The sequence below is a fragment of the Homo sapiens genome, chromosome 10 (assembly GCF_000001405.40).
Source record: "Homo sapiens chromosome 10, GRCh38.p14 Primary Assembly".
Classification (NCBI taxonomy): domain Eukaryota; kingdom Metazoa; phylum Chordata; class Mammalia; order Primates; family Hominidae; genus Homo; species Homo sapiens.
Genome location: NC_000010.11, coordinates 77,701,285 through 77,727,506, shown reverse-complemented (window position 1 = coordinate 77,727,506; position 26,222 = coordinate 77,701,285). Strand labels below are relative to the sequence as shown.

Genomic DNA, 26,222 nt, shown 5'->3' with positions numbered 1-26,222 from the left:
TTAATCCAAACCGATGCATAAAGAGAAAAATTAAAACTCAAGCAGAATAAATACAAAGAAAACCATACCAAAGCACATCATGGTCAAATTGCTGAAAACCAATATTAAAGAGGATATCTTAAGTGCTATCAGAGAAAAGGGGCAAATACATTTAAGAAGGTAACAAGAAGAAAGAATGATGGCTGAATTCTTATTAAAAATGCAGAGACAATGTAATGGCTTCTTTAAAATGCTGAAAGAATTTAACAAAGCATTCAAAATACATACTTCAAAAATAAAGGCAAAATAAAGACATTTGTAGACAGGAAAAAGCTGAGGAAATTAGTCCAGTAAGTAGACTTGCACTACATAAGTCTACAAACTATAAACATTTTAGGTTAAAAGGAAATGACACCTGATGATATGGTTTGCATCTATGTCCCCACCCAAATCTCATGTTATATTGTAATCCCTATTCTTGGAGGTGGGGCCACCCGGTGGGAGGCGACTGGGGGCTGATTCATCATAAATAGTTTAGCACCATTTCCTTGGTGCTGTTCTTGTGATTATGAGTGAGTTCTCGTGTGATCTGGTTGTTTGGAAGTGTGTAGCACTTCCTCCTTTTTTTCTCTCTCTTTCTCCTGCTCCCTTCTTATAAGATAGCCTGATCCCACTTTGCCTTCCACCACAAGTATAAGCTCCCTAGGCCTCCCCAGAAACAGAAGCTGTCATGCTTCCTGTACAGCCTGCAGAACCATGAACCAATTAAACCTCTTTTCTTACAAATTACTCAGTCTCAGGTATGTCTTTATAGCAATGGAAGAATGGCCTGATACACCAGATAAATCCTGGATGTGTAGGAAAGAAGAGCGTTGGAAAGGGTAAATATGTAGAAATGTGTGTGTGTGTATTTGTGTAGATGCATGTGGATGCTCACATACATCAAGGCACTATTATTATTTTATTTGCTTAATATTTATGTCTATATATTATATAAATATGTATATATTATGCATGTGTTTAATACATATTAATATGTAATTAATATATTAATATGTATGTATTTATTAAGCAAATAATAATGTCTTGATGGATGTGAGTATGTACATGCAGGCACATACATACATATATATACACATATACATACATATATATACTCATATGTAAGTAATATATATGTATATACACACACACACATATCACTTTCTTGGCTCCATATTGAAGAATGAATACTGGTATACTGGTGGTGAACTCCCTCAGATTTTATCTGTTGAATATGTCTTTAGTTTGTATTTATTGTTGGTGAGTTTTTTTCCTGGGTAAAGGAAATTGTAAATTTGTATGTTCACAGGTGTATTAGGCCATTCTGGCACTGCTATGAAGAAATACCTGAGACTGAGTAATTTATAAGGAAAGAAGTGCAGTTGGCTCACTGTTCTGCAGTCTGTATAGGAAGCAGAGAGGCATATGCTTCTGGGGAGGCCTCAGGAAGCTTTTACTCATGGTAGAAGGCGAAGCAGCAGCAGGCACTTCATATGGTGAAAGCAGGAAGCAGGAGCAGGAGATGGGGAGTGAGCAGGGGTGCCACACATTTTTTTTTTTTAGACAGTTTCACTCTTTTTGCCCAGGCTGGAGTGCAATGGCGCGATCTCGGCTCACTGCAACCTCTGCCTCCCGGGTTCAAGCGATTCTCCTGCCTCAGCCTCTTGAGTAGCTGGGATCAGAGGTGTGCACCACCATGCCTGGCTAATTTTGTATTTTTAGTAGAGATAGGGTTTCACCATGTTGGCCAGGCTGGTCTCAAACTCCTGACCTCAGGTGATCCGCCCACCTTGGTCTCTCAAAGTGTTGGGATTACAGGCATGAGCCACTGCGCCCGGCCAAGTGCCACACACTTTTAAATGACCAGATTTTGTGAGAACTCACTATCACAAAGACAGCACCAAGCCATGAGGGAAACACCCCCATGATCCAAGCATCTTCCACCAGGCCCCACCTCCAGCACTGGGGATCATAATCCAACATGATTTGGGAAAGGACAAATATCCAAACTATATCATTCCACCCCTGGCCCCTCCTAAACTCATGTCCTTTTCACATTGCAAAATATAGTCATGCCTTCCCAACAGTCCCCCAAAGTCTTAACTCATTCCAGCATTAACTCAAAAGTCCAAAGTCTCATTTGAAACAAAGCAAATCCCTTCCACCTATGATCCTCTAAAATAAAAAACAAGTTACCTCCAAGGTACAATGGGAGTATAAGCATTGGATAAACATTCCCATTCCAAAGGGAGAAACTGGCCAAAAGGAAAGGGCTACAGGCTCCATGCATGTTTGAAACCCAGCAGGGCAGTCATTCAATCTTAAAGCTCCAAAAATAAACTTTTTTGACTCTATGTCCTGTAACAAGGGGACACTGGTGCAAGGGGTGGGCTCCCTAGGTCTCGGGCAGCTCCACCTCTGTGGCTTTGCAGGGTACATCCCCTGTGGCTGCTCTCAGTTTAGTGCTTGTGGCTTTTGCAGGTGCAGGGTACAAGCTGCCAGTGGATCTACCATTCTGGGGTCTGGAGAAAGGTGGTCTCCTTTTCACAGCTCCACTAGGCAGTGGCCCAGTGGGGGGACTCCGTGTGGGGGCTCCAACCTCACATTTCCCCTTGGTACTTTCCTAGTAGAGGTTTTCTATAAGGACTCTGTCCCTGAATCAGGTTTTTGCATGGGCACCTGGGCATTCTCATACAGCCTCTAAAATCTAGGCAGAGGCTGCCTAGCATTCTTCACTCTTGCATTCTGCACATCTACAGGTTTAACATCACATGAAAGCCACCAAGGCTTATGGCTTGCATTCCCCAAAGTGACAGCCTGAGCTGTACCTGGGCCCTTTTGAGCCACAGTTGGAGCTGGAGCAGCTGGGATGTGGGGAGCAGTGTCCTGAAGCTGTGCAGGGCCACTGGGCCCTGGGCCTGGCCCATGAAACCATTCTTTCCTTCTAAGCCTCTGGACCTGGGAGGGGAGGGACAGGCACGAAGGTTGTCTTCAAAATGTCATGGCCTTTTCCTCATGTCTTAGATAAAGGTACTTGGCTCCATTTAGTTACACAAATATCTCGTACAAGTGGTTATTCCACAGCCTGCTTGAATTCCTCTCCCAAAAAAGCTTTTTCTTTCTCTGTCACATGGTCCAGCTGCAAATTTTCCAAACATTTAAGTTCTGCTTCCTGTTCATATATAAATTTCAACTTTATTTCTTTGCTCCTGCATCTGAATGTGGACTGTTAGAAGCAGTCAGGTACATCTTGAACACTTTGCTGCTTAGAAATTTCTTCTGCCAGATACTGTCAATAATCACTTCAAATTTCCACAGACCTCTAGGGCAAGAGCAGAATGCAGTCAAGATCTTTGCTAAAGTATAACAAGGGTGACCTTTGCTCCAGTTCCCAATAAGTTTCTGATTTCCATCTGAGACCTCATCAGCCTGGACTTCACTGTCCATATCACTATCAGCATTTTGGTCACAACTATTTAACCAGTCTCTAAGAAGTTCCAAATTTCCCCTCATCTTCCTGTCTTCTTTTGAGCTCTCCAAACTTTTCAAACCTCTGCTCATTACCCAATTGCAAAGCTGCTTTCACATTTCCAGGTATCTTTATAGCAATGCCCCATGCTAGGTACCAATTTTCTACATTAGGCTGTTTTTGCATTTATAAAGAAATACTTGAGACTAGGTATTTATATGAAAGGAGGTTTAATTGGCTCACAATTCTTCAGGCTGTACCGGAAGCATAGTACTGGTATCTGCTTCTCGGGAGGCGTCAGGGAGCTTTTACTGATGGTGGAAGGTGAAGCAGGAGCAGGCACTTCACATAGTAAAAGCAGGAGCAAGAGAGAGAGAGTTGGGGGGAAGTGACACACAGTTTTAAATGACCAGATCTTGTGAGAACTCACTATCATGAAGACAACACCAAGCCACGAGGGAGCTGCCTCCATGACCCAAACACCTCCCACCAGGCCCCACCTCCATCGTTGGACATCACAATTCAATATGAGATCTGGGTGGGACAAATATCCAAACAATATAAGCAGTTATTTTCTGTTGGGAAAAGCTGAGTGTTGACAGAAGCTGAGGCAGGGTTTGCATGTCTGACATAATATAAAAAAGTCTTGGAATATGTGCGGGGTCCAGGGTCTAAAGCCCCTTGTGGCCTTTGGAACACCAAGCTCTGTGCTAAAGGGTAGAAGGCTACCCTGATGCACCATAACTTAAACCCAGGGCATAAAATCCCTCATGGCTTGGATAGAATCCAGGGCTCGAGGCTCTGGAATGTGTCTAGACTTGCTGGCTTCTTGCTCCTTGCTCTCTCAGGATCGATTGTATCTTGAGTTAAAAGAATCTGCTCTCCATTATCTCAAGTAGCAGAGCAAATGCTAAACCATCACAGCTGTAAATCATGTGCTTAATGCAACATGCCCTTTTGACCTCCACATTCTCATCACCTGTTTCTTTGTTGGATTACCAATAAATAGCATGGGCTCCTAGAGCTCAGGGCCTTCGCAGCCTCCATACACTAGTGATGTCCCCCTGGTCCCAGGTTTTTCTCTCTCAAACTGTCTTTTTCTCAATCCTTTGACTCTGCCAGACTTTGTACCCCCACGACTTGGTGTTGGGTCTGATCACCCCAACAATTTTCTTTCAGTGCATTGAGATGGTCATTCTACTGTCTTCTAGCTTCCATTGTTTCTTTTGAGAATTTAGCTGTTACTCTAACTGCTGCCTCTGTAAAGACATCTTTTAAGGTTTCTCTTTGTCTTTGTTTTTTTGCAGTTTCACTATAATGTATCTACATGTTGATTTATTTTTAAAATTTTCTGCCTTGAGATTTATTTGGCTTCTTAAACACGTGGTTTTGTGTCTTTAATTAGTGGGTTTTTTTGTTTTTTTTTTTTCTGAGATGGAGTCTTGCACTGTTGCCCAGGCTGGAGTGCAGTGGTATGATCTCGGCCCACTGCGACCTCCACCTCCCAGGTTCTAGCAATTCTCCTGCCTCAGCCTCCCAAGTAGCTGGGGTTACAGGCATGCGCCACCATGCCCAGCTCATTTTTGTATTTTTAGTAGAGACGGGGTTTCACCATATTGGCCAGGCTGGTCTCGATTCCTGACCTCATGATCCACCTGCCTCAGCCTCCCAAAGTGCTGGAATTACAGGCCTGAGCCACTGTGCTTGGCCTTTTATTAGTTTTGAACACTCTTTAGTAATGATTTATTCACATTTGCCTCTGTTCCCATTATTTTTTTCTTTAGGGACACCAATAAAACATATGCGTTAAGACTGTCTCACCATATCCTCTGCATCTCGATCTGTCAATAAGCAATTATTTTCATGTCTCTTCACAATTAGGGCTTTCTGAGCAAATGTTATTGACATCTGAGTTAAGGTTAGAGGGTGTTAGGACTAAAGCCATCTGCTCCCATTCAAAGGGCAATAAGATTTATCATCTTCTAACTCCCACCCACCCCACCTCAGGCCAAATGCTTGCATTCTGTAGTAAAGACGTTCCCATTTTTCTTTCTGAGACTATTAATTTACACTTCAAAGGGGTATAAAACCTGGAACCATGGAGCCAGTTGCTTCCATTCTGAAGGATTGTAAATGACTGGAGAGCAAAGGTGCTTCTCTCTCTGAAAGAGGATTGTAGCTGGGAATGGTGTAGTCTATATGAATTACGTTCCTAATTTAAACTGTTAGATTCATAATTTCAGAATTTCTCTCCTTCAAAAAGTCCTCTGCATAGGCAGGCTCATCGAACTAAGCACTTTAAATAGGTGGATTTTATTTATGTAAACCATACCTCAATAAAGCTGTTAAAAAGATAAAATCAGGCAGAAAAAAAGTTATTGAATTTTTAATTTTAATAGTATTGTATTTTTCAATTCTAAAAAATCTATTTGGTTTTGTGAAAGGAAAATAAATCTTGGGGCCCCCAAATTGCTAAGTTAAAGGCAAAAGTGAAGCTGAGAACTGCTTAGAGTCAACCTGCCTCCCATTCTACCCAAAGTCACCCCTCTGCTCACTGAGATGAATGTATATCTGATTGCCTCCTTTGGAGAGACTAATCGGGAACTCAGAAGAGTGCAACCATTTGTCTCTTATTTACCTATGACCTGGAAACCTTGCCCTGCTTCGAGTCTTCCCATCTTTGCTTCGAGTTGTCCCACCTTTCCAGAGCAAACCTGTGTTCATCTTGCATTATGTTGATTGATGTCTCATGTCTCCCTAGAATGTATAAAACCAAACTGGGCTCTGACCACCTTGGGCACATGTTGTCAGGACCTCCTGAGGGTGTATCACAGGCACATGTCCTCAATCTTGGCAAAATATACTTTCTAAATTAATTGAGACCATCTCAGATGTTCAGGGTTCACAGTTTCCTTACATATCTGTTATGTCACTTTTTATGATTTCCAGTTTTCTGCCAAAATGGTTTAAATAAACTTTTATCTCCTTGAACATAGCAGACCTATTTATTTTATGGTATCTGCTGATGATTCCATTATTTGCAGTTCCTGTGGGTGTGTCTGTTTGCTGTTTCTGTTTATTCTCATCCATAGCATTTTTTTATCTTTTTTTTTTTTTTTTCTTTGAGACGGAGTTTCGCTCTGTCGCCCAGGCTGGAGTGCAGTGGCACGATCTCAAGTGATTCTCCTGCCTCAGCTTTCTGAGTAGCTGGAATTATAGGGGCCCCCCACCACGCCCGGCTAATTTTTGTATTTTTAGTAGAGATGGGGTTTCGCCATGTTAGTCAGGCTGGTCTCAAACTCCTGACCTCGTGATCCGCCCGCCTCAGCCTCCCAAAGTGCTGGGATTACAGGCGTGAGCCACGGCACCTGGCCTCATCCATAGCATTTTATCTTCACGTGTACTTGGTTATCCTTGACTCTGTGTTAGACATTGTGCTTGGAAAACATAATTTAAGGCCTATACTGTGCCCTTGTCTTCTAAAAGTAGGTTCTTTATTCGTTTTGCCAGGAGACTGGGAGCACTACCAACACAGGATTACCTTAATTCAAGTTCAGGCCTTGTTGTTTTCTCCAGCACTCAGATTTTTGAAGCACATTTTCATCTATGCGAGGACTGGTTTGTTTCTTGTTATTCTTACTTCAAGTGTGCAGCATTCTGGGGTCACATCCCAGAGCCAGATCATATATTGGGTCTGACACGTGGTGGGCCCTGGATGCCAACTTTTTTCCCATAGTATCTTGAGGCCACCAAAGCCCAGAAGCGCAGCTAAACTTGGAACAACAGAAGCCCAATTGTTTTACTAACCTCTCTAGATTCTGGGCCTCTTTTGGAACTTGGCCAGATAATTTTTCACTATCTTGCAAGCTCTGTGATGCTTGTAAGGCCAAGGAGGGAGGATCACTTGAGCCTAGGAGTTCAAGACCAGCCTTGGCAACATGGGGAAACCCTGTCTTCACTAAAAATACAAAAAATTAGCCAGGCGTGCTGGTGCATGCCTGTAATCCCAGCTACTCGGGAGACTGAGGCAGGAGAATCGTTTGAACCTGGGAGGTGGAGGTTGTAGTAAGCAGAGATTGCACTGCTGCACTTCACCCTGGGCAACAGAGCGAGACTCTGTCTCAAAAAAAAAAAAAAAAAAAAAAGGAAGTGAAGTCTCAGAGCCTCTGCTTGGGACCCCATTGTAGCTTGGACAGGGACCAGAACCAGCAAGAACATCCCATCAACAGACCACCAGCGCCAATTGCAGGCTACACCTTCCATAGCGACACCGTGTGGCAGCATCCAGCAATGGCAGCATAGGGCTGGAGTTGTTCTTTGTCCATCTGGTGCCAGGGAGCAGGACTGAAGAAGAAGGATTCTTGGACAATACAGGGGAGGAGGGAGGGCCCAGAAAGGAGGCGTTGGACTTCCTGTGCATCAGGGTAGGCGAGTGCTGAGGCAATTATGAGAGAAGGCGAGCTCACATCTTTGCTCTGCCACAGCCTGGGGAGTTGGCAAGTTACTGCATCTTTCTGCCTCCGTTTCTTTATTTGCAGAATGGTGACAATAATAGAATCTATCTCCTAAGGTGGTTGTGAGGATCAAATGAATTAGTGCATGTTGAATAGTGCCTGGTACATATTAGGTGCCCAGTAAATGTTGGAGGTTGCTGTTGTTATCATTATTAGAAAAGATGAAAAGGGATGAGACAATATTGGCACCCAAGTTAGCTTATGCCATAAGATGCAGAGGTAGATATCATAATTCTCACTTTACAAATGATGAGACTGAGTTTCAGAAAATGCAAATAATTTGCTCAAAAGCAAACAGGACTGATAGCACCAAATGTTTTCCAGAAACTGAATTTATTGCCAGTAGAGATCATATCTGCATGGAAACTCTGATCTTCCGGTCTGACTTGTGTTTCCCAGAAGTTTGAACTTAACCTAAAAACCAGATCTCCACGATGCTTCAGTCAGGATCAAGTCAGATGCAAAATTTTATGGCAAATGAATGTGAAGTCCAAGTGAACCACACAGGGGAAAAAACCTTCATTTTTATTACCTCTGATTTCTTTTTATTTAATCCATTCTCTTTTTCCATCCTCAGTGCTTCTGCTTGAGTTTAACTCTCATCTCCTGCCTGGTCTATGCGTCATCATCATCATCATCTTCTTCTTATTATTATTATTATTTTGAGACGGAGTTTCACTCTTGTTGCCTAGGCTGGAGTGCAGTGGTGGGATCTCGGCTCACTGCAACCTCTGCCTCCCAGGTTCAAGTGATTGTCCCCCCTCAGCCTCCGGAGCAGCTGAGATTACAGGCACCTACCACCATGCCCGGCTAGTTTTTTGTATTTTTAGTAGAGACGGGTTTCACCATGTTGGCCAGGCTGGTCTCAAACTCCTGACCTCAGGTGATCCACCTGCCTTGGCCTCCCACAGTGCTAGGATTACAGGCGTGAGTCACCATGCCTGGCCCCGTCATCTCCTACTTAGTTGTCTTTCTCCCAGCACTGCTGCCCTCTAGCCTGCCCTCCATGCATGTAGAAGGGTGGGGTGGTTTTCCTAACTAAAATATCCCCCTACCTAGATCCTTCCAGAGACCGCCCCCCCACAACTCCTGTAACACTGCACAGCCTCCTTAGCTGTGTTCAATCTGACCCCGTCTCCCTGCTGAACCTCTTTTTCTGCTGCTATCTCAAGAGCTGGGTTCTCTTTCTTTTTGTTCCTGAAGCATTTAGGCACAGTCCTACAATAGCACTCACCATGTTTTATTGCAACTATCGTTTGCACCGAATCTTCCCAGGAGACTGAATTCATTGCCAGTAGAGATCATATCTGCTCCCCTGGTGTCCCCTTAGTCACCAACATGGTGCAAACTAGAAAGTGTTGATGAATGGGGCAGATTATCCTTGGGGCTCATTTAGTATACAGAGGTGGCCACTCGAGTTTAGGATCAAATGCAGCTCTTCTTTATATTACGGGGAAGTAAAAAAAAAGGGGGAAAAAAGTAAATGGCCATTACACATTATATCAATGTGTCAATTCTATATATGCTAAGAAAACTCAAATAATGCAGTTTGGCTGTACATCAGAGATCTGTAATCAACAAGTGGAAGAAAAGATATTATCATGGCCAGAATTTATAGAGGTACTTTCTTGTGATATCAGAGAACAGCACCTCAAATTGGAAAGCTTAGGCAGGTCCCAAATGGCAGGTTAGAAGACCAGAGTACTAGAGTAGTCTGTATATTTATGGGGGCACGCTGGGAGCATCAGCAGCAACTCCTTATTCTTCTAGCTGTTAGTGGTACAGCAGCGAAGTCAGGCATTCCTAACTGAGCTACTTGGATTCAATCCTAACCTGGCTGTGCTACTAGCTGTGTGACCTTGGATAAGTTCCTCAGCCTCTCTGTGACAAAGTTGACTCATATGTAAAATGGGGTAGTCATAGCACACCCAGTGTTATTGTGAGGAGTTAATATTTACAAAGTGCTTGGCACAGTGTCTTAGTCCATTTCTGTTGCTATAAAGGAAAGCCCAAGGCCGGATAACTTATAAAGAAAAGAGGTTTATTGGGCTCACAGTTTGGCAGGCTGTGCAGGAAGCATGGCACCAGCATCTGCTCCTGGTGAGAGCTCCAGGCTGCTTCCACCCATGGTGGAAGGTGAAAGGGAGCCTATGGGTGCAGAGATCGCTGGTGAGAGGAAGAGAGAGAGGAGGGAGGAGGTGCCACACTCCTCTAAACAAAAAGCTCTTGCGAGAACAGAGTGAGAACTCACTTATCCCTCCACCATCCCCCAGGGAGGGCATTAATCTATTCATGAGGGATCCACTCCCAAGATCCAAACACCTCCCATCAGGCCCATCACCACCAGCCCTGGGGATCGAATTTCAACATGTGATTTGGAGCAAAAACATCCCAACTATAGCAAACTGTGTCTGGCAAGTAGTAAGCAGCACACACGTGTTAGCTCATGATGTCACCCATCCAGGAATCAGTCCTATTCTAATGAAGGCTAACCCACAACATCAAGGTGTCTGGGAGAGAAGGGTCTTGCTTCCTTCCATTCACTGTGATTCTCCACACTCATGCATGTCTAGTTCTTGTGTCACATCGAGTGTAGCTCTGGTTTTGAAAACACGTAGCCCTCATTTCCCTTCTCCTGGAGAGCTGTGGTCAACAGCTTGGCTCGTTAATGAGCCATCATTCCTCTGAGAATAACTGTATCTGGACCATCTGATCAGTATATCACCTGAACGCATTTGGCTCCGCATGGCCTGTCTCCCTGAGAATTGGCTCCCTTGTCTCACCTCCTTGGCATTGCAAGTTTAAAAACAAAAGCTTTCTGGGCTTTGAGTTATGGCCGCCTGCTGTTTCTGTTGCCCAGCCGGCACTGAAGAATGTTCTGTCTTAGGCGCTTCCATTATTGGCAACAAAGGTTTTTCCCCCTGATATATTGCTTAAGTTGCATCAATTGATTAATGATCTGTAGAGTGCATTTTCTAGCACTTTTCCATCGGTGTCTCCTGAGTGGGCTCGTTCATGAGCAAAATGTGTCTGCTTTTTTCTCTCTCCCTTGCCTCACTCACGGCTGTTTCTGGGTGGTGTGTGGTGGGCAGGGAATGGGGTTTCATGGCAAGAGAGGAGCTGGATCCTAGGATTCATCTGTCAACAGTGGGCACTCGAACCACCCCTTCACTTCTTGGGGCCCAGGGTCTTCTGTGGAATGAGAAGGTTGGACTTGGGATTGCCAAGGCTCCTTCCAGCTCATTATTCTTTGATGCTTCTCAGCTTCTCTCCTGATTCCTGCCTTAGAGCTGACCATTCAGGAAACCCCTTAGAGGGGGTGGCACAGGGAGCCCCCGTCTGCTGCAGTTGGAGGAAGTTCAAGACATATAATGGCCAGACTTCTCAGCCTGGAGGCCTGGCCCCCAGTAGAGGCTCTGCTGATGCAGAGGGTCCATGTGCTCCTAATGAGACCCTGGATTTGGAATCAGTGACGATGACTCCTTGAGGATCTCCTTTGGGACCTGAAGATCTTGTCCAGTTGCCAGTTAACCAACATTTCAGTGAGACTAACAGTGGCTTCTAAAGAGGCTGAGACCAGGCCTCTTGCTTCTGTTGCACTCCTGTGACATCCAGCATAGGGTTGGGCGCACTGTAAATGTTTCTAAAGATTTCTGAAGAATGGTAAGAAGTCAATGGTAGGATGTGGCTGCTGAGAAACCTGATGTCATCTCAGGTTGCATTAATAGAAGCATGTTAATTAGAATGAGGGAGGTGATAGCCTCACTGTTGCATGCTGAAGAGAACTTATCTGTAGAACACAGTTCCATTTTGATTACTCACTAATGCTCCATGAGAGTAGGCACAGTGTTTGCCTTTTTTGCTACTGTGTTGCCAGAAGAAGCACTGGGCCTGTCAGATACCAGGCTTGCAATAAAGGTGTCACCTGCCCAACAAAGAGAGATCTTGGGCTCCTTCAAGATTGCAAGGAGGATCCTCCACATGTCTCATGAAGAACTGCAGAAGTAGCTGGAGAGATTTAACCCACTGACCCCAGGAAGCCTGAGAGTTACCCCCAATTATTTGAAGAGTTGCTACATAGAGGGGAATTGTAACTCTGAGTCTTGTGTCACAAGACTCAGAACTTAGTAATTATCGGAGCATCCACAAATAGATTGGGTATGGTGGAATGGTGAGCCTTCTGTCACTGGAGGAACTCAAGCCTAAGCCAGGGGGCCACCTGGTGGAGATGTCACGAACATTCAAATGTCACCTGGGGAGGGGCACAGTGTACCTCTGTGTTTTTTCCTGCCTAACATCTATCCTCTCTTTTAGTCATAGTATCCTGTTTTTCATTTGAAAATCCCATTGATTTCAGCCTTGTGGGACTTGGTGATCCCACTGAGTACAGTTGTGGTGGGGACTATTTCTCAGCGTGCCCCATGCTCCCCAGCTAAGTGTGACACAAAACTTAAGTGAAGTTTCCTTAGAGTGGTGATTCTCAAAGTATGGTGCCCAGAACAGCGACATTGGCATCGCCTGGGAACTTGTTAAAAATGCACAATTCTGGAGTTCTACCCCAGAATCAGGAACTCTGTAGGGTCCAGCAATCTGTCTGCATGAGCCCTCAAGAGGCCATGTATTTTATTTTACATTCCCTGCCCATTCCCTGCCTGCTACACCACCTAGAAGCAGCCATGGGTGAGGCAAGGGAGAGAGAGAAAGGGGAAAACGTTTTGTTCATGAACGAGCCCACTCAGAAGACACCAGTGGAAAAGTGCTAGAAGATGCACTCTATAGATCATTAAATTCATGCTTTTAAGGTCCCTGGAGCCTGTCCTATTAGGACACAAGTCTTCAGCTTTTTAAAAAATTTTCCAATTCTTTGAGCTTCTTCTTTTACTTTAAATAAACTCTGAGTCTTCTTTTGCTTCAGTTAGCTAGAGTCAATGTTTGTGGCTTAGAGTCAAACAGCCCAGTGAACACCGGATGGGAAGGATTTGGCCAGATGAGCCCTAAGGCCCCTTCCAGCCTCGCCACTTTGAATGGATGAGTGAATGAATGAATGGTTGATGGAACTGAACCAGATCCCTTCTAGTTTGAGCTCTGAGAGAAAGTCAAGTGACGGTGGTGGGAGGCAGGGGGAAGGTGAGGAATGTGACCACTGCAGATGCTGATCCCAGAATGACCAGAGTTCTGCGAGGACTAGGATTAGGACACGCTCAGGGAGCCTGCCCCTGCTGAGCGCTTCTTTTCTGACTGGCTGAGTGACCTGAGGGAAGCCATGCAAGCTCCCGAGGTCCCATTTTCCTCTCTAAGGAGAGGATTATTCTGTGCTCTTTGCTCCTTCCTCTTCTGTAGCTAAATTAAAATGCACGCGTGACTAACAGCAGCGCTGGGGTGGTCTGCGTGGAGTGCTGCCTGTTGGGCTGTGAGCAATTTGCCGAAAAAGTCTTCATCCTGGTAATTTGGGCCAGATGCTTCAGTGCAGACCCCGCTGACTCATCAACAGCCCTGCCTTCCTGAAGACTGAGCTGGGGGTCAGCTCTCCACTCATGCCATCTGCCTTTCCAGAAGCACCCTGCTGGAGGGGTGCGGGGGAGTGGGGGGCAGGAAGAACACGCACTTAGGGAGACTACTTGGTGTGGGGGGATCTGAAGGATGGGGAGTTATTTTAGCTGGCATGAACATTTATCGGAAGGAGGAATTGGTATAAGTGATTGTCTACGTGTGGGACTCAGGGGGCTGTGAAACTTGCATGCATTTGGAAGAGGAAATGTTCAAAAGCACCAGTTCACGATATTTTCACAGCTGTTTGGGAAGCAGTCTGTGGGCAGAAGCAGCAAGCTCAGGGACAAGTGAGAGAGCTGATGGTTTGGCAAGATGGGCAAAAGGCTCTTTATAGCTTTGCACCCTTTGTTCTTTCTGCTGCTCTCGGCTTCTCTTTCCTCTCATTTTTCCAGATCCTCTGGACTTCTGGGTTTCTGCCTCTTGTTTCCATATGTCACCTTCTGTGGCAGAGCACATTTTGGTTGCAACTGACTATTCCCCAACTTGTAACAACTTGGGGACACAGTGGGGCTTTATTGACACCTGGAGTCAAACCCTGAATTTGAACAACCAAGTTTTAGAAAGGGAAGGTTGCAGCTGGATTTCAGGAATGGCCGGAACTGGGACTTGAACTCTGTTGGCGGAGCCTCATCTTTGCTTCTCTCTGTGTGGTGGTTTTATCGTCTCTTACCATAGACCAGCTTCTGCTACACGGTCGGAAATGTGATTGCCAACAGGTCCCCGGTTCACCTTTTGTAATTCTGACGGCTGGAGAGGGGCTGGCTTTTACTTTCTTTTCTTTTCTTTTTTTTTTTTTTTGAGACGGAATCTTGCTCTTTCGCCCAGGCCAGACTGCAGTGGCGCTATCTCGGCTCACTGCAAGCTCCGCCTCCTGGGTTCCCGCCATTCTCCTGCCTCAGCCTCCCGAGTAGCTGGGACTACAGGCGCCGGCCACCACGCCCGGCTAATTTTTTGTATTTTTAGTAGAGACGGGGTTTCACCGTGTTAGCCAGGATGGTCTCAATCTCCTGGCCTCGTGATCCGCCCGCCTTGGCCTCCCAAAGTACTGGGATTACAGGCGTGAGCCACCGCGCCTGGCCAGCTTTTACTTTCTCTATCCCAAGTTGAATTAGGGAGAAAGCTCAAGACTAAAAATCACAGCTCTGCCAGTGACTATCTGTGTGACCTTGCAAGAGTTCATCGCTCTGAACAGCAGTTTTCTCGCCTGAGAAGTGGGAATGAATATAGCTCCCAGATCAGAGAGGCAGGTATTGGCTGGTGGTTGGGAGCAGAGGCTCTGGAGCCAGAACACCTGGCTACAATTTCAGTTTTGCTGCTTAGATGCAGTGTGACTTTGGTCTGGGTCCCCAATCTGTGAATGTCCCAGCTTTCTCATCTCTAAAATAATGGGGATGATAATGACACCTATTTGTAGGGGTGGTGTGAGAAGTAAATGAGTCAATGCTTGTAAAGAATGTAGTTCATTGAATGGCATTTGGCAGACAATCAGTGCTAGCATTTACTCCTTGCTGTCTCCACAGTTCTTGGTGACATTTCTCTAGGGCCTCCCCATGGCTGCCACTTAACCAGGACAGGCTGTGAGCTCTGGGCCATTCCCTCTGCAGCCAGTGGCCCCTCTGCTTCTTTCTCTGCTACTCCAGAATGGAAGTGAGTAAGAATTGAGAGTGATGTTCTTATATTGAATCTGTTCTGATTTATAGTTTTAAAAAGTAGCCATTCTAGAACCTTCGTTCCCTATTATGAGTGGATTGCTTTTAAGAGTAGCTTCTATTCTGAGCACTGCATCAAATGCTCCATATTCATGATTTAATTGTAACAACAACACAACCAGGCAAGAGTTCCTAACCATCCCCCCACCCCTTTTTTAAATAGGTTAAGGAAATGCACCTGTAGTTAACTAGCCAGAGATCATGCACCTGGCTTATGAAGGCGGCATGATTAAAACCCAGCTCTGTCCGGCTAGAGGCATCTTCTGGGGAAGGCTGAGCCGAGATTGAGCGTGGAGACCACGTTTCCTGGAGCCCCAAGGCCTGGGCATCCTGGTGGCCTCGGCGGGAGCTTCTCATCTGCCTCAGTCTCCCCTGCTCCCTGAGTCAGGCAGGCCTGTTTGCATAGAAGCTTAACCTCTGCTGGCTGGTGTTTTGTTTGCTCACACACTGACTTTCACTCTGTGCGCCTTTGCCTTGACTTGTTTCCCAACTAGAGAATAGGTTCTATGTGGTGGGTGTTGTGCCCAAAGTCTTTGTCTCCCTCACTCCCCTCGCCCAGGGCAGGAGATGGAGCTCCGCGCCTCCGTGATCTGGGCTGGAGGAGAGGGAGAGGAGCGCGTCAGTCCCGCTCCCCGCCAGGCGGTGGCGCCAGTGTGCAGGCCAGGCCGGGCTCAGCGTGGCTGTGGCGGCTCGGCAGCTGCAGCCCAGGCTCCTCAGTACCCCACCGGGAGAAGCACTCGTTCTGGGCGTTACCTGTGGGGGCAGGGGGCAAGGGGAGAGGCGCAGGGGAGTGGCGAGGTTGTAGCAGAGAATGTGGGCGTTCGTTGGCCCCGCGGTTTCGGGCTCCTGCTTTCTGGGGACAGCCAGCATGGCCCTGAAGTCCGCCGCCCTTCAGAGCGCGCCCCTCAGAGCCCAGGGGTGCCCGCGCCCGCTCCGGTCCCTCCGCCTTCTGCGGAAGGAAAACCAGGCCCTGGCTCGCTGGGACGGGTCCTTTCGGGGACTGCGGCTGCTTCCCTGTTCGTAGACTCAGCAGCCGGCGATGTGACTTCAAGGCCCCCTCGAGCTCTGCCTTCTTAAAAAATAAAACGTAGACCTCTCCTTAGCCATGTGGGTTATGTGAGAGCAGCCTGATGTGGTGCTGCTATTCATTCATTCATTAGTTCATTCACTCATCTGGGATCGAGAGCATGGTGTGCCAGGCACCTTAGCAGAGCAGAAGACAGAGCGAGAACCCGGCAGACACCGCCACTGCTCCTGTGGGATCTGAGGTTTAGTGGGGACACAAGGAATTGAGCACATGGCACGGAAAGTGCCCTTAAACCAGCCCGGGAAGATGAAGGCGAGCTTCCTGGAGGAAGAGGCACCTAAGCTGATGACTGAAGGCGAGAAAGAGTTGACAGGGCTTAAAAAGGGGGGTGGGGGTGGGATTGAACATGAGGCCTCAGGGACTCCTTGTTTTTTCAGCGGGTGTGGGGAGCTGGCTCTGTGCTCTCCCATTTTTGTCACTGAGTGCAGAGGCCCATGACCTGGGTAGGGAGGAAGCTTATTTCCGTCTGTCCCTGTGCAAGGCATGCACAGGGTTAGGACTCTGATGAAATCGAATTTTCTTTCTCCCCAGGAAAACGATGTCTGTATGGGTCTCCCCGGTTTTGCCCACAACTGCAGGGTCCTATGGATGCCCAGTGGAGCCCACGGTGAGAACCTGAGGGTGAGGCTGAAGAGACCATGCTCCCCTGTGGTAAGTACCTGGCTTCCTGAACCGCCCTTCCTACCTGCTGCCCCGGTGACTCTGCCGGCCTGTGTGTCTACACAGGCTGTGGGGAGGGAGGTGCGGGGGGTGGGCTCTGCCCTGGCTACTCGCCTTGCTTCCATCTAGTGTGGCTCTGCGGGGCGAGCCTACTCCCCTTAGGATACCCTTCTGGTTTTGATGGCGTGAGGCAAGTGTCATTCTTGGCCCACAACAGCACCCCAGGATGCCCGGTGAAACACAATGGGTTTTCCCAGCAGGGTGGGGTGAGCTGTGCCTGGCTGGGCTGGCCTCCCTGCTTTCTTCATTTGTGGTCTCTGAATGACGGGTTCCTGGCACCCATATCTTGGGGCCACCGGGGCGGGGCTTGCTGCCTTTCCCCTGCTGTTTGGTGAAGGGCCGAGACTGCCAGTGTTCCCTGCCAGGCCAGTACTCCTCCTCTGGTGGCCTCCCCTGACCAGACGAGGGTGGGAGGCAGTGCCCTGGAGGAGAAAGGGCTTGGGGGTTGGGAGCAAAAGGCTGAGGGGCTGGCCATTTTGGGCTCTTTACCCACAGCAGGGTTTTTACAAAGTCCTGCAGGCTAAGGTGTGAACCTTGGTTTCCTACTATAAAACAAAGATGCCCATGCCTATGGTGACTTGGGTGTAGTATGAAGCTATGAGATACAAGGACAGTGACAGTAATGATAACCAGGGCTGCTGCTTATCAATTTTTGCTAAGCCAGCTCCTGTGCATGGTCTTTACATTTGTAAATCATGCATGGGGCATAGATGTGAGCTGTCTACATACTGAAGAGCACAGTGTTACTGAGAGTGGGGTGGTGATGACTGCTGTCCTGGGCTCCCTAGACCTGGGTGAGCCCAATAGCAACCCCAGGCCTCCTGTGTAACCTAGACAAGTCCACCTCCTCTCTGGTGCTTATGCTTTATCATGGAGGCGTTTGGCCCAGATGACCCATGAGGGTCCATCCTGTGAAGTGGCCTTGGGAGTGTCACCATCAGGAATCTGCCAGGGATGCTGAAGGCAGGGGACAAGGAGACCAAGGTGCTGGTTATTGATGACAGGTGAGGATGGGAACCTGGTGGAACCAAGATCTGACCCTTGAAGGGCCTCCAAATCCATGGTTCCTCATTGGCAGTTATTCTCAGCCCTAAGAAGAGGGTGTCCCTTGCTGGAGGTGATTCGGAATCATCATGACAGTGGGGCATGGAGGCTTTGTCATCCCAGCACTTTGGGAGACCAAGGTGGGAGGATCGCTTGAACCTAGGAGTCAGAGACCAGCCTGGGCAACATCATGAGACTCATATTTCTACAGAAAATTTAAAAATTAGCCAGATGTGGTGGTGTGTGCCTGTACTCTCAGCTACTCAGGAGGCTGAGACAGGAGGATCCTTTGAGCCCAGGAGTTTAAGGTTGCAGCGAGCTATGATCATACCACTGTACTCCGGCTTGGGCAACAGAACGAGATCTTGTCTCTAAAAAAATAAAAACAATAATAAAAGCAAAAAAGACAGGGAAAACAGAATCACTGAGACTTTTTGGTAAATGAGACTTCCCTGTTGGGAGTCAAGCTGCCCTGGGGAGTTAGCCTTAGGCATCAGAAGCAATAAAGGTAGAAAGCAGGCCCAAGCTCCATGAAAGGCCCGGAAGGACCCGTAAATCCAATCAACAAGCTGTATTAAACACCTTGCCTGTTCAAACTTAGGTCTGGTAACCATTTACTGGGTTTGCAATGTTATTATTAAAGTTCAAAAAAATGCCAGTGCCATCCCCATTGCCCCCACAATTTATACTTTTCTTCTCTTTGCAATATTTTCCATCTGCCTCCATTCTCTCTGACCCAAGACAAAAATAAGAGCCACCGTTTAATGAACATGTATAATATGGTTTGGCTGTGTCCCTACCCAAATGTCTTCTTGAATTGTAATCCCCATAATCCCTAGGGGGATACCTGGTGGGAGCTGATTGGATCATGGGGGCGGTTTCCCCCATGCTGTTGTAGTGATAGAGTGAGTTCTCATGAGATCTGATGGTTTTATAAGGGACTCTTCCCCCTAATCCTCACTCTTCTCTCTCCTGCCGCCATGTGAAGGACCTTGCTTCCCCTTTGCCTTGCACCATGATTGTAAGTTTCCTGAGGCCTCCCTAGCCACGTGGAACTGTGAGTCAGTTAAGCCTCTTTCCTTTATAAATTACTCAGTCTCCAGTATTTCTTTATAGCAGTGTGAAAATGGACGAATACGATGTATTGTGTGCCAGGCCCTGTATTAAGTACTTTATGAGCATTATTTCATTTAAGATTTCTGTGAGGTAGCATCATTATAATCACTTCCTTTTTATTTATTTTTTAATGAATTTTTGATTGTTGATTTTTGTTGGTATATAGCAAGTCTATATATTTACGGGCTGCATGAGATATTTTGATACAGGCATGAACTGAATACTAATCACAGCATGGAGAATGGGGTATTTATTACCTCAAGCATTTATCTTTTGTGTTACAATCCAATTATAATCTTTTAGTTATTTTTAAATGTATTAAATTATTTTTGACTATAGCCACCATATTGTGCTAGCAAATACTATGTCTTATTCATTCTAATAATATTTTTGGGTCTATTAACCATCCCCACTTCCCCTCACTCCCCCACTACCTTTCCCAGCTTCTGGTAACTATCCTTCCACTCTCTGTGTCCATGAGTTTCATTGTTTTAATTTTTAGCTCCCACACATAAGTGAGAACATATGTTTGTCTTTCTGTGCCTGGCTTATTTCACTTAACATAACGACCTTCAGTTCCATCCATGTTGTTGCAAATTATAGGATCTCATTCTTTTTTTGTAGCTGAATGGTACTCCATTGTGTATCTGTACATTTTCTTTATCCATTCATCTGTTGATGAACAACAGATGAATTTTGACTATTTCCAAATTTTCACTATTGTAAACAGTGCTGCAGTAAACATGAGAGTGCAGATATACTGATCTTTGATATACTGATATCCTTTCTTTTGGGTAAATACCTAGGAGTGGGATTGCTGGATCATATGGTAGCTCTATTTTTAGTTTTTTGAGAAACCTCCAGACTGTTCTCCATAGTGGTTGTACTAATTTATATTCCTACCAACAGTGGACAAGGGTTCTCTTTTCTCCACATCCTCGCCAGCATTTGTTATTGCCTGTCTTTTGGATAAAAGCCATTTTAACTAGTGTGAGATGATATTTCATTATAGTTTTCATTTGCATTTCTCTGATGATCAGTGATGTTGAGCACCTTTTCATATGCCTGTTTGCCATTTGTATGTCTTCTTTTGAAAAATGTCTATTCAGATCTTTTGCCCATTTTCAAATTGGATTATTTTATTTTATTTTTTCCTATAAAGTTGTTTGAGCTCCTTATATATTCTGGTTACTAATCTCTTATCAGATGGGTAGTTTGAAAATATTTTCTCCCATTTTGTGGGTTGTCTCTTCACTTTCTTTATTGTTTCCTTTCCTTCTCAGAATCTTTTTAACTTGATGTGATCCCATTTGTCCATTTTCGCTTTGGTTGCCTGTGCTTGTGGGGTATTGCTCAAGAAATCTTTGTCCATTACAATGTCCAGGAGAGTTTCCCCAATGTTTTCCTTTAGTAGTTTCATAGTTTGAGGTCATAGATTTAAGTCTTTAATCCATTTTGATTTGCTTTTGTATATGATGAGACTTAGAGGTCTAGTTTCATTCTTCTGCACATGGATATCCACCTTTCCCAGCACTATTTATTGAAGAGACTGCCCTTTCCCCAATGTATATTCTTGGCACTTTTGTCAAAAATGAGTTCACTGTAGATATGTGAATTTATTTCTGGGTTCTCTATTCTGTTCCACTGGTTTATGTGTCTGTTTTGATGCCAGTACCATGCCGTTTTGGTTACTATAGCTCTGTAGTAAAATTTGAAGTCAGATAATGTGATTCCTCCAGTTTTGTTCTTTTTGCTTAGGATAGCTTTGATTGTTGTGTGTCTTTTGTGGTTCCATGTAAGTTTTAAGATTGTTTTTCTATTTCTGTGAAGAATGTCATTGGTGTTTTGATAGGGATTGCATTGTGTCTGTAGACTGCTTTGGGTAGTATGAACCTTTTAGTAATATTGACTCTTCCAATCCATGAACATGGAATATTTTTCCATTTTTTTGTGTCCTCTTCAATTTCTTTAATCAGTGTTTTATAGTTTTCACTGTACAGATCTTTTATTTCTTTGGTTAATTATTTGTCGCTATTGTAAATGGGATGATTTTCTTAACTTCTTTTTCAGATTGTTTGCTGTTGGCATATAGAAATGCTATTGATTTTTGTATGTTGATTTTGTATCCTGCAACTTTACTGAATTTGCTAATCAGTTGTAATAGTATTTTGGTGGAGTCTTTAGATTTTTCTGACTATAAGATCATGTCATCTGCAAATAATGATAATTTGACTTCTTCTTTTCCAATTTGGATGCCTGTTTTTTCTTTCTCTTGTCTGATTGCTCTAGCTAAGACTTCCAGTACTATGTTGAATAACAGTGGTGAAAGTGGGCATCCTTGTCTTGTTCCAGATCTTAGAGGAAAAGCTTTCAGTTTCTCCTCATTTGCTATCATCACCTCCTCTTTAGAGATGAGGAATCTGGTATACAGAGAACATAAGTAGCGTGTCTGAGGTTACATTGTTAGGTTACATCCAGAGCCTGATTCAAAACCAGGTCTGTTAGACTCCACTGAATTGTGTTCCACAAAGTAAGGAGATATTTTTTGGTTTTTTATTGTCCCTTGTATTGATCCGATGTGGCTAGGATTGTTCACCTGACTTTACGTTGACCATACTGTTCTCCCCAAAAAGCTGGCCAGTTTGTGTTTTGTTCCTCCTGTCCTTCTGCCTAATAAACTTTGGGAAACCTAAGTGTCCCCAAAAAAGCTGCAGGCAAGTCAACTGCTGTGGCCTCCACTTTTGGCTCAGGGTCAGCCCCTCTCAGTCATAGCAGGACTCAGCCCACCTACAGGCAGTGACATCAAAACATTGGGTTGGAAGAGGCTCTGAGGTCAATAGACGGAAATGGAAATGTTTCTTCCCTTTGGCGTTTATTTTCTGGGCGGCAGGCCTTAGGGAGGAATTGTGGGAGGTGAAGGATTCATTCTTTCTAGCATCAGACTGGTTTAGTGGGCTTCTTTGCCACTTCTTCAGTCCAGTGGTGATTGCCCTGTGCCAGGTCAGACAAGAGGGAGGCCCAAGGACATCCAGGGAGCAGCTGTTCCCAAAGTCATGGTGACAACACCCTTTCTTTTTTTATTTTTATGTTTTTATTTTATTATTTTTTTTGACATGAAGTCTCGCTCTTGTTCCCCAGGCTGGAGTGCAATGGCGCTATCTCGGCTGACTGCAACCTCCGCCTCCCGGGTTCAAGCGATTCTCCTGCCTCAGCCTCCTGAGTAGCTGAGATTACAGGTGCCCGCCACCATGCCCGGCTAATTTTTGTATTTTTAGTAGAGACAGGGTTTCTCCATGTTGGCCAGGCTGGTCTCAAACTCAGGTGATCCACGTGCCTCAGCCTCCCAAAGTGCTGGGATTACAGGTGTGAGCCACCGCGCCCGGCTGACAACACCCTTTCTTTTGGGGATCCTTCCTGTCTTGCCCACTGCCCCCCTGCCAACAATAATCTCACTTCCCTGTCTTCTAGGAAAGGAGCAATAACTCAGTAATAATAAAGAATAAGTGACTATCAATGTTGAGTAGCTCCCTGCTCCCGAGGGGTGGTGAGGGGTGAGACAGGAGCTGCATCTCAATTGTAAAGTTGAAGGAATTACCATAACTTCTGGAACTTCAAATGTCAGTGAGTGGCTTGGGGAAAGGATATCCTAGGTTGGATGCTGATGCTGCTAGTAGTCACAAAGTATTCTCGACCTTTTTTTTTTTTTTTTTTTTTTTTTAGCTTTTAGGTTTAATTTACAAATGCCAACCTTCAGGCCCATATTCAATGGGTTCTCACCAGACTCACTCCCAGTCTCCTTGGTCTATGCACTCTGAAAACAGCTCATTAGTTTCCTCCAGGTGTCTCCCTCCAGGGATTCCACTTAGCAGGTGGAATCCCCATAAAAATCCAACTGTTGGGTGCTTGGTTTTGAGTGCCACTAGCCTGATAAGCCCAAGATCCCCTGGTATGATTTCGGGAGGCCATGGGCACCGCCCTTTTAATGTCATCCCCAAAGCTTTGACTACATCCCAGGGTGGCTTTAGACTGATGTAACAAAATACCATAGACTGAGTGGCTTATAAACAGCATAAATTTATTCCTCACAGTTCTGGAGGTTGGGAAGTCTAAGATCAAGGCACTGGCAGATCTGGTGTCTGGTGAGGACCTGCTTGCTGGTTCATAGATGGCACCTTCTGGCTGTGTCCTCACATAGTGGAAGGGGCAAGAGGTCTTTCTGGGGTCTCTTTTATAAGGGCACTAATCCCATTTGGAAGGGCTCCACCCTCATGACCTAACCACCTACCAAAGGCCTCATTGCCGCATACCACCACATTAGGGATTAGTTTCAGCATATGTATTTGGGGAGGATACAAACATTCAGACCATGGTGCATCTGTAGTGTGGACAACTCCTTTTCAGTCATCAGAACACCTTCTGCTTGCCTATCCTTGCAGGCATTATGGCCCAATGAGAAGGAAACTGAACTCAGACCAAGGAAACTTGGGTTTGAGTCCCATCCTTGTCACCATTTTTCTATCATGTGATGTTGAGCATTCAACATCCTGGCTCTCAATTTCCTCAGCTATTATAACTCTTGACCACTTTGAGAGGTTTTTTGTCAGGATCAAATAAGATAATATAAATAAAAGTAATTTTACATAATTTTAAGCTGAATAGCGATTAGGATGCTTGCAGCAAACAGGCAAAATAAAACAAAACCAAGACTGGCTGTCTTAGTCTGTTTTACACTGCTCTAACAGAATACCTGAGACTGGATAATTTATAATGAACAGAAATTTATTGGCTCATAGTTCTGAAGGCTGGGAAGTCCAAGATCAAGGTGCTGGCCTCTGACGAGGACCTTCTTGCTGTGTGACCACATGGCAGAAGGTGGGAGGACAAAGACAGGGCAAGACAGAAACACAAAAGGGACCAAATATGCCCTGTCATAAGGACATTAATTCCACCCATGAGGGCAGAGCCCTCACAGCCTAATCACCTCTCAAAGGCCTCCCCTCTTAATACTGTTACAATTAAATTTCAACATGCATTTTGGGGGAGACAAACATTCAAACCATAGCACTGGCTTAAATAATAAAGGAGATTTATTGGGTCCTATAAGTGAAAAGTCCAGACTGGACACATTGACACTATGGTTTCTCTGTGTGTCTCTCAGCTCTGTCCTTCTCCTGGTGCTGGCTTCATCCTGAGGCTTGAGCTGTGGTGGCTTCAGGATTCATAGGTTCTCACAACAACCCCGGTAAGAGAGACTCTTGAGAAGGAGGAGCAGTTTCCCCGAAGCATCCACCAAACCTACCCTTGTATCTCATGGGCCCGAATTGGGACATATATCTGTTGTGCTCTCTGAAGACACTCCCAGTAAATGGGACTTCTAAATTTTGATATATAAAACAAAAGAAGAAAATATGACCTCTACTTCTAATACTGTTGGAGGCTATAACCTAGTTATACAGTGGAAATTGAGGTCCATAGAGATTAAGTTATATGCCTAAATTATATTGCAGAGTGGAATTTAAACTCAGGTTGTTGACTGCAAAGTCTCTAATTTTTCTTTTTCCCAGTTTACCTCTTTTTAAAATATGAGCATATCTGTAATGTTTTTGTAAGAATGACCATGTTCAAACCCATGTTGTTTAAAGGTAAAGAAAAAAAGGATGACCATGTCTATCAAAAAATTCAATGTAGAAAAGTTCAGAGAAGTAAGTAAAAGTAAACTGAGATCTCCTATCCGATGATAAACCACAAATACATTGGTAAACATCCTTCCAAATGTAACACTGCATAAAATCACATGTAAGTGTACAACTTAATAAAAATGGAGTCATATTCTACATGACTAAGACTGCGAATTGCCTGCCAAGTGTATATTCTCATCTTCTCCTGTGGTAACAGGGCTCTTGGCCACATGCCCAGTAGAAAAAGTTCTTTTCTAGGCTCCCTGACAGATAGGAGTGGGACGTGGCTCAGTAGGAGTCCTGGTAAAAGCTATTGTGTCCCTTCTCTGGGATCCCCAGACATGACATGATGGCTGAAGCTCCAGTAGCCATAATGTAGCCTTGAGGGTAGAAGCCACCTTCTAAGGATGGCAGAATAGAAGGACTGAAGGATCCTGAGCCTCTCATAGTTTCAAGGAGCTGCCACACAAGCATAACCTGTCTATCTCCAACTTCTTTTATGTCAGAGAATAAACCATTAGTCTGTTTCAGCCATTAGGCTTTAAAAACTATGTACCTTATGCACATTTTAAAGTTGAAATCTAAAATTCTTAATAAGTTTAAATAGTTTCAAATAATGTAATTCTGACTTACTGAAACTGTTAACATTCTAAAACTGTCACATCATTCTTTAAAGTGCATTCAGAGGAGGCTGGGCGCAGTGGTTCATGCCTGTAATCCCAGCACTTTTCGAGGCCGAGGCAGGAGGATTGCTTGAGCTCAGGAGTTCGAGACTAGCCTGGACAACATGGGCAACCCTGTCTCTACCAAAAAATATAAAAATTAGCTGGGTGTGGCAGCTCACACCTGTAGTCCCAGCTACTCAGGAGGCTGAGATGGGAGGATCGCTTGAGCCCAGGAGCTCGAGGCTGCAGTGAGCCCTGATTGTACCACTGCACTCCAGCGTAGGTGACAGAGCGAGACCCTGTCTCAAAAAACAAAGTGTATTCAAAGAAATATAAATTTTATAATAATCTGATATTCACTATCATCTACTTAAAAATACATGAATAAGGCCGGGCACAGTGGCTCACGCCTGTAATCCCAGCACTTTGGGAGGCCGAGGCGGGTGGATCACGAGGTCAAGAGATTGAGACCATCCTGGCCAACATGGTGAAACCTCGTCTCTACTAAAAATACAAAAAGTAGCTGGGCATGGTGGTGCACGCCTGTAGTCCCAGGTACTCAGGAGGCTGAGGCAGGAGAATCGCTTGAACCCGGGAGGCAGAGGTTACAGTGAGCCAAGATCATGCCACTGCACTCCAGCCTGGGTGA

General features: G+C 45.3%; 1 long non-coding RNA gene across 1 annotated transcript, besides 3 other annotated features; it reads left to right on the top strand.

Moving 5' to 3' along the window:
• Window positions 14,677–14,908: a silencer, noted in NCBI's record as "fragment chr10:79472357-79472588 (GRCh37/hg19 assembly coordinates)". NCBI's record gives its function as "represses an EF-1alpha promoter that drives an FKBP-Casp9 reporter gene in an ReSE screen in HepG2 liver carcinoma cells {active_cell/tissue: HepG2}" and the evidence as "EXISTENCE:reporter gene assay evidence [ECO:0000049][PMID:32094911]".
• LOC105378372 (uncharacterized) lies at window positions 16,819–25,073 on the top strand. Its single transcript, XR_001747510.2, has 2 exons — window positions 16,819–17,001; window positions 24,389–25,073. It is a non-coding gene; the product is annotated as an uncharacterized LOC105378372 (long non-coding RNA).
• Window positions 17,025–17,214: an enhancer, noted in NCBI's record as "active region_3611". NCBI's record gives its function as "activates an Ori minimal core promoter by ATAC-STARR-seq in GM12878 lymphoblastoid cells {active_cell/tissue: GM12878}" and the evidence as "EXISTENCE:reporter gene assay evidence [ECO:0000049][PMID:35858748]".
• Window positions 17,585–17,644: an enhancer, noted in NCBI's record as "active region_3610". NCBI's record gives its function as "activates an Ori minimal core promoter by ATAC-STARR-seq in GM12878 lymphoblastoid cells {active_cell/tissue: GM12878}" and the evidence as "EXISTENCE:reporter gene assay evidence [ECO:0000049][PMID:35858748]".
• Window positions 25,074–26,222: the final 1,149 nt, after the last annotated feature.